The sequence below is a fragment of the Homo sapiens genome, chromosome 21, assembly GCF_000001405.40.
Source record: "Homo sapiens chromosome 21, GRCh38.p14 Primary Assembly".
Classification (NCBI taxonomy): Eukaryota; Metazoa; Chordata; class Mammalia; order Primates; family Hominidae; genus Homo; species Homo sapiens.
In genome coordinates this window covers 39,811,657-39,820,091 of record NC_000021.9, presented here as the reverse complement: position 1 = coordinate 39,820,091, position 8,435 = coordinate 39,811,657, and the positions used below count along the sequence as shown (strand labels likewise).

At 40.7% G+C, this 8,435-nt stretch overlaps 1 annotated feature.

Moving 5' to 3' along the window:
• Positions 7,680-7,901: a silencer, noted in NCBI's record as "fragment chr21:41184118-41184339 (GRCh37/hg19 assembly coordinates)". NCBI's record gives its function as "represses an EF-1alpha promoter that drives an FKBP-Casp9 reporter gene in an ReSE screen in phorbol 12-myristate 13-acetate-treated (for megakaryocytic differentiation) K562 erythroleukemia cells {active_cell/tissue: K562(+PMA)}" and the evidence as "EXISTENCE:reporter gene assay evidence [ECO:0000049][PMID:32094911]".

Genomic DNA, 8,435 nt, shown 5'->3' with positions numbered 1-8,435 from the left:
TTTAGGTGTCGGTGTGAGGGTGTTTCTGGATGAGATTAACAACTGAATTAGTAGACTGAGTCAAGTAGATAACCCTCCCTAGTGTGAGTAGGCCTCATCCAATCCATTGAAGGTATGAATAGAATCAAAGGCTGAGTAAGAAGGAATTCTTTCTCTGCCTGACTGTCTTTGAGCTGGGACATTGATCTTCTCCTTCCCTTGAACTTGAACTCAGACTAAAAATTATATCATCAGTTATCCTGGTTGTCATGCCCTTGGACTTTGCCTGGAACTTACACTATTGGCTCTCCTGGTTCCCAGGCCTTCCAAGATGGGCAGCAGGAACTATACCATTTACTCTCCTGAGTCTGCAACTTGCTGACCACAAATCTTGAACTCATCCTCCATAATAGCATGAGCTAATTTATTACAGTAAATCACTTGGTAGAAGATATAGATAGATGATAGATAGATAGATAGATAGATAGATAGATAGATAGATAGATAGATAGATAATAGATAGATAGATAATATAGAGATAGTAGATAGATAGATAGATAGATAGATAGATAGATAGATAGATAGATAGATAGTTAGATAGATAGCCTATTGGTTCTGTTTCTCTGGAGAACCCAGACTAACTCATATGGTAATGGCAGTTACCTCAAAGGACCAGAATTTTTTAGGAAAGGGGGAAGAAAATGATCAAGAAGAGATCATGCAAATCAGAAAGGATAACTCCCATACTTCCCAACTCTATACTCCATGCAGAATGGGAGAGGAAATAGCCACCATTCAAGAGGACTACAGGAGAAAGCAGGGTCCTCAGGGGAGAGCAGATCTCAAAGAAGAGAACTTTCTGAGAAAAGACTGGACGTACACGGGGTTTTGCTGATGATAGTGCTGATTCCAGAGGACACAGTGGAAGTATCTGCTTGGTAAGGAAGGGCTGGAAGATTGAGTCCTCTTAAGGAATGTGAAGAACCTCCTGAGGGCACAAGTCAGGGTATGGGGAAAGTGTCTTCTCAAAGGCTTGACATTCTGGTAGACGCTGAGAAGTACAGAGTGATGAGATTATTTCTCATGGTCTTTTAGGAGAAAGTGGATAAGTAGCCCTAATGATATCCTCAGACCGGTAGAGAGGCTGGGGAAGGAGAAGTCTTGCAAGGATTACTGTGCCCTGTGCACCCCTTAAACGCTTCAATGAGAGGTGTGCCAGAGACAGGCAGTCTTTCTAGGAGAAATCCCTAGCTATGCACTTGGCAGTACTGAAGAGACTCTTGTCTGGAGACCTGTTTCCATGCAGACTCTGCTCAAATCATTAATGAGTGGACTTAACAACCAAAAAATGGGAAGTGAAACTTGGACTTCAGTTACACAGTGGAAGATGATGTATGGTAAAAGTGCTCTGAGGAGAATCTGGCCATTCAAAACTACTCATTTCCTCAGGAGATTCTCAGTAACACATCACCCACGAATTACCAAAGACCTTCCCCTAGGGTAGGTCCTTAATAATATTTTCCATGTTCTTTATTCTGGTTCATCCCTGCTCATCATTAAAGCCTGTTTCGCACTAGATCATGTGTCTGCTGCCTGACTTCTCTTGGGCTATACCCTGACCTCCTCTTCCTCTTCCTATTACTTCTTTCCCCTCGGATCTCTCCAACATCTTTCCCTCCCATAGTGAAGGGCAAAATCCACCACCTCCATGTATTTCTTCAACCTTCACTGGGCTTCTTCATTTTACACATCTACATCTCTCTTTATCCATTAATTCAGCGTTATTAAGAGCAACAACTTTTGCTAGATTGCCTAAAGTACGTATTCTTTTCTGGAAATGCCTAAAGTATGTGTTCTTCTCTGCAAAATGTACTAAGTGCACTGCTGACCACAGTTTCATCATCTTCAAGTCATCTTTGGAATCCCAGTCTACTCATCTCCAATCCCCTATCATTATCTCATCCTAAATTTAAGCAGTCCTTGAAATCCATTTATTCCAAAAAAAAGCTTACTACTATGTGAAAACGATGGCAAAATCTCCCAGCCCACCCTCCCCAAAGGAAACATGAAATCTCATAACAATACTCACTACCTTGCTACTTGGTAATGATGTTAATAGCCTGCTTTTTAAAACATTCATTTAAATGTTCACCTGGTTGACTCTACATTATTTCATTTCTAACCTCAGTAATCCGTTCAGTATTTTAAACTTTTAAGAAGGCATAAATCACAGCTTGATTTTATGTAGTGTCACACTCGGACACATGTTATTACTTATTTTTATCTTAATGATGGAATAAAAAGTCAAGAGTATTCTGGAGTTATCCTTAAACATGGCCGACCATAGTCAATGCTCTTACTACAATTTGTCTTTGTCTTGGAAGGTTAGGGTTGTGCATTTTCCAGAGAATATACATAAATGTTGCATTCTTGCAGGCTGCTATTGCACTTGCCCACAATTGCCCTGAAAAAACAAATATGTTTAAAGCATGTCACATGCACTAATTTTAAGTCTAGCTATTCCTACAGATCTGTACAAGAAGAACCAATTGCATATCAAGAACAACAGAAGAATGTCCATTAATACCCCCAGATTTATTAATTTGTTTCCTTATAATTATCATAATCAAAGAGTAGTTGCAAGTGTAGTACAATTTCTCAGCAGTTTACCAATAAAACAGAAAGACTTAAAAAGTCAACTCTTGGTTAATTGACTCAGTTCTACATAATCATGGCAGAAGACAAAGGTAGCAGGCAAGAGAGCTTGTGCAGGGGGAATTCCCATTTATAAAACCATCAGATCTCATGAGACTTATTCACTATCACGAGAACAGCATGGGAGAGACCCTCCCGCATGATTCAATTACCACCCACCAGGTCCTTCCCATGACACGTGGGAATTATAGGAGATACAGTCCAAGATGAGATTTGGAGGGGGGTACAGCCAAACCATATCACCCATCTTGCATTTTGCAGCATCTCACCTCAGATGGCCACCTTGGGTCTTTCACTTTTGCCTGCTCTGGAGTCTTCTCAGTAGTTGGGAGCAAGGGAGGAGGAGGTTAATATCCCCAACCAATGGGAATGGGAACAGATGAATAAATGTTGCACCCTCCTGTCCTTCAAGCAGACCTTTCTGGGAGGCATCCCATACTCCTTGCAGGGGCTCCACTGGGCTTGAACCCTCATCAACTACAGAAGCAACCCCTATTGGCTTTATGTATTATACTGATAACATATGAGGGTACCCTTGTATGACAAACCCTCTGTCAATCTCCCTACTCTCTAACTCTTGCTTTCTGGAATCGCCTTATTTGGTGGGAGAGGAGACTCAAACTAAAATCCTCCTCTCCATCAATTTTGCTACTACTGGGTCACATGTTTTGTCAGGAAATTGAATGATAAGGAAACTGAATTTAAGAGCCAATTTTAATTCCAAGTAACTGCTATAGGTTTGAAAAGTTCATATACTGGAAATTTAATCTCCAATGCAATAGCATTGACAGGTGAGACCTTTAAAAGATGATTAGGTCATGAGGGCTCTGTTGTCATAGGTGGATTCATGCCATTATATCACAGGAGTGTATTATCACATGAGCAGGTTCCTGACAAAAGGATGAGTTCAGCTGTCTTCCCTTCCCTTCTCTTCCCTTCCTTTCCCTTCCCTCCCCTCCCCTCCTCTCCTCTCTCTCTCTGTCTCTCACAAGGATGCTCTCTTGTTTTGTCTCCTTCTCTCTTTTCCTTCCACCTTCACCAGGAGATGACACAGCACAAAGGCCCTCACCAGATGCCAGCACTATGCTCTTGGACTTTGCAGCGCTCAAAACTATAAGCTAAATAAATTTCTGTTCTTTCTAAAGTATCTATTCTCAGGTATTCTGTTATAGCAGCATGAAACAAACTAAGACAGTGACAATTTTGGATCATCTGAAAATTTCACTAATACCTCAAAAAGTCCTGACCTGTACATTGGCTGCAAGAAAAATAAACTAAATAGAGAAGAAATATAAAGTAAACAGACCTGAGAAGCAAAGAAATTTTTCTCTTTCAGAGAGTATTAGCTCATGTGAGAACTCAAATGCAAGTCCACAGGGAAAATTGCAATCATCATTCAACCTTAAAACAACAATTTGACAAAACCAATAACTTGAAAATTCTATGAGGATAGCACTTTATTCTTTATGTCCTAAGAAACCTTGGAAGATTAATAAATGTTTGTTGCCTGACTTTGAAGTAGCTTCTATCAAAGATAATAAAATAAATGTTCTGAACAAAATTTGGCCTTCCATTGACATGATACTTCTGGAGTCCCAGAGAGGCCATTTTCTAGCGTGAGTCAGGGTTTATCTTAGAAGTCAAATCATCCAACTATGGTAAATCTCTCCTTGGCTATTCATTTTTAATTTCTGTATAATTTTCACTCACAGTATTTGCTGACTCACATGAAAGAAAAATGTTTCATTTAAGTTTTCCTCTCCCTTTTCTAAACTAACACAAATTACTTAACAGCAACAAGGATTTAACTAACGCTTTTTGTGTATTAAGATACATATAAATATGCTTTAGAAAAATGTTTATGTTAAAATACTTATAGGGGTTAGGAATGAATTTGTATGGCCTTAGAGTTTTTTATTTGGGGTTTGGGGTTTGTTTGAGTTTTTTGGAGGGAGATGATTTTTATTATGTGTGTGTTTCCTGGTACATGAACAAGATTATCCAAGAAATAGAGAGAAAAAGAGAAATATCAGAATTAGAAGGACTACTTTGTTATTGATGGGCTTAAAGATACAAAATATATGATTTTGAATTATTGGATATTAGTGCTAGAATCTGACATATAGCTTTGTAAATTATTTACATGAGGGAGTGCATGTGAATTGTCATTTACAGATGACAGAAAACTTAATTTAGAAGGGATAAGTACTAAGAAGTTTATACAAACACTCAGAAAAAAAGGCAGATGGCTGTTAATGTAGGCAAGGGCAGGTTGATACATTTTTTGAAAAGTAATGCATATAAAAGGGGTTACATTCATTTGCTTGGACTCACACAGAATACTGCAGACTGGGTGGCTTAAACAAAGAAGTTTTTTTTTCACAGTTTTGGAAATTAGAATTTTAAGAGCAAAATGCCAGCAAATCCCATTCCTGGTGAGGGCTCTTTTCTTGGCTTACAGACAGCCACCTTCTTGCTGTGTACTCATATGGCAGCTGGAGACAGAGAGCTTTTGGGTGTCTCCACCTCCTCTTATGAAGTCACCAGTTCCATTGGCTTAAGGCCCCACCCTTCTGAACTCGCTTAACCCTAATTACCTCCCAAAGGCCCCATCTCCAATACCATCTCACTGGGACCCAGAGCTTCAATATATGAATGTTGGAGGGACACAATTCAGCCCATGACAGGAGTCATGCCCTTTGATGCAGTCATTTCTCTTTTCAGAACCTATCTTGAGAGACTATTCCAAACTATGGGAAAAGATGTGCATGAGGATTTTTCTTTACGGGAAAAAAATGGAACTAACCTAAAATGTGCAATGATAGAGAAAGGCATAAGTGAAGAACAAGAAAGCACTCAAAGAAACCATCAGCAGCCATTAAAAATGGCAGCCATGACGACTATGCAGCAATAGGGAAAATACCTACAGTGATAGGTGATTTTTTTTTAAGACAAGAAGTGGCATTGAGTAAATCTAGTTAGGATTGAACTGCTTTAGGTTTTTGTTTTAGCTATGGTTACTATTATGGACTGAATTCTGTCCCCTCCCCAAAAATTTCTATGTTGAAGCCAAATGTGATTGTATTTGGAGATAGGGTCTTTAAAGAGGTAATTAAGTTTAATTGAAATCATAATTAAGGCTTAATCCAATCTGACTGATGTCTTTATTAAAGAGAACAGGGATGCATGGACACCACAAAAAAGCTGTGTGAAGCCACAGGGAGAAGATGACCATCTGCAAGCCAAGGAGAGAGGCCTCAAAGGAACCAACCCTGCTGACACCTTGATCTCAGACTTCTAGCCTCTAGAACTATGAGAAAATAGATCTCTGTGTTTTCAGCTACTGCAGCCTGTGGCACTTTGTTACAGCAGCCCTAGTAAACTTATACAATTACCATCCCTGTGCCAAAGCTTTTGCAACCCATTAACAATGCTTTAGCTTAGGATGGGGGCTTTAGTGCTCAGAGGTTTTTCTCACTGATCTTACTCCACTAACTCAGCTTTTGCACAATCCTATGTGCCAGCCTCACAGAGGATGTTTCTTCAAGTTCCATCCTTCACCATCAGTAGATGCTGCTGTTTGTCACTCAGTATTTGCAAGGCTGGTGGCAGGTTGCAAGCAGATCTCTGTTGTCCTAGGCTTGCATCAGTCTTAGATAGTCCTTGTGTGTTTGGGGCTTAAGAATATAGCATAATGAAGGAAAATGTTTTGCCCTCTACTCTCCTAGGTTCAATGGCTGGGGTCAGGGAATCAGACTGATAAAAGACAGATTAGCAAGAGGAAAAAAACCATTTTAATTATGAAAAATGCTTGGGAGTTCACAAAGAAAAAAATCCATCTCAGGGAGGTGCCAGATGATTGAGGCTTATATACCATGTTATACAAAGGAATGTGGGTAAGGGGAATATGGGGAGTGGGAAGGGAAGGTGGCAAGTTATGGGAATTGGACCAGAGAAAGTAAACAAAGGTTATTTTGTTAGATTTGCTATGCAAATTTGAGTCTGCATCTTCTCCATTGATAAAAGTTAAGAGTTCTCCTCTTCCTGGTATGGGAGATGGAGACACATTTCCAAATGGAAATTTCCTTTCTAAATGCAAATTTCTTTTACATAAAGAAAACTTTGCCCTATTTTTAGAGCTTTTTCTGCATCTGCTGGTTGTCAGTGGCCTTTAGCTCAAAATAATCCATATGCTAAAGAGATGTATTTTAGGGTGGAATATCCTGGCACCCTCCAGCAGCTTTCTAAGTGTCCCCGACCCTCCTTCCCATGAAAGCCAAGCTCTGCTTTCTGGCTGTTGTGAGCCTTCCTACCCTCCCCTAGGGATAGGAGATCCTAATGGTGATGGAATAGTATTCTGGCTGATATTGTCTGGAATTTTAGTCCCCTCCAAATCTCATGTTGAAATTTGATTCCCTGTGTTGGAGGTGGGCCTAGTGGGAGGTGTTTGGGCCATGGGGGCAGATCCCTCATGAATGTCTTGGTGCCATCCTCATGGTAATGAGTGGGTTCGCATGAGATCTGATTGTTAAAGAGTCTGAGACCTCCCTCCCCTCTCTTACTCCCTCTCTCCCCATATGACTTTCTGTTCCCCCTCCACTCTCCGCTCTGAGTAGCAGCTCCCTGAGGCCTCACCAGAAACCAAGCAGATGCCAGCATCATGTTTTTTGCACAGCTGCAGAATCATGAGCCAAATAAACCTCTTTTCTTTATAAATTACCCAGCCCCAGGTATTCCCTTATAGCCGTACAAAACAGACTAATACACTAGCCCAAGGCCTTTTCTGTCCCAGAGTAGAAGCTTTGTCTTCTAGCCTTCCCTTAGCAGCAATGGGTCTGTTTCTATGCCTTGGAGGCTACAAATTCCACTGCCTCCTCTGTCAACAGCTAAAGGCTTTTGCAATGAGGGAAGCACCAGGCAGAAGGGTGGGGTTTTCTGCTTCTTCCCCTTCTCCCTGCCACCCAGGCCCCCTACCCCTTCAGTGGTGCCAATCATGCCCTATAGACCTGCACTACCAAAGACGCTCTCTCCAGCTCCCCTCTGCAATCTTTCTGAGGGGTCACTGGTGGAAGTCTACAGAAGAGTCTGTGAGTGAGTGTGAACCCCTGTGGCTGGTACCCCCAGGGTGCTTGTGCACTGCCTTTTCTTGGGGGAGAGACTCTCCTTCCTTGATGGCCAGCTACTTGATTGCTCTCTGGCTCTCTGATGGGTTCAGGAAAAGCCATGATTTGGTAGTTAATCTGGCTTTTTCTCCTTAAAGTCTGAATGACATTCTTTCCAGTTTTCTACATCCTAGGCAGACACAGAACCCTTATATCATGTTAAATGGCAAGTTTTGTTGCATGTAAATGCTAAATTCTGCAACTGGAAAAATCTATTTTGCAAACAAGACAATGTCAAGCACAACACAATTCCCAAGAAGCTTTGATGTCACTGGTGCTCCTCCATTGCTCTAAAAGTTTTCAATAAATATGCAAATATTCAGTTAAGAGGAAGAACAGATGGAAGAAGAAGATATCGATACCTGAACATGCTAATTTTGGGTTTTCTCTCTTTTCCCTTTGCCAAACCTCCTTTAGAAATCAAATGTGGCATTGTGGAATGGAGAAAAGGCAGACATGTTTTAAAGCTAAAAGGATATTCACATTCAGATCGTCTAAAGACTCCAGTGCTTTCCAATGCAGCCTCATTTTGAATAGCAATTTTTTGCAATGCTTATTTTATGATTCTGAAATTAATTG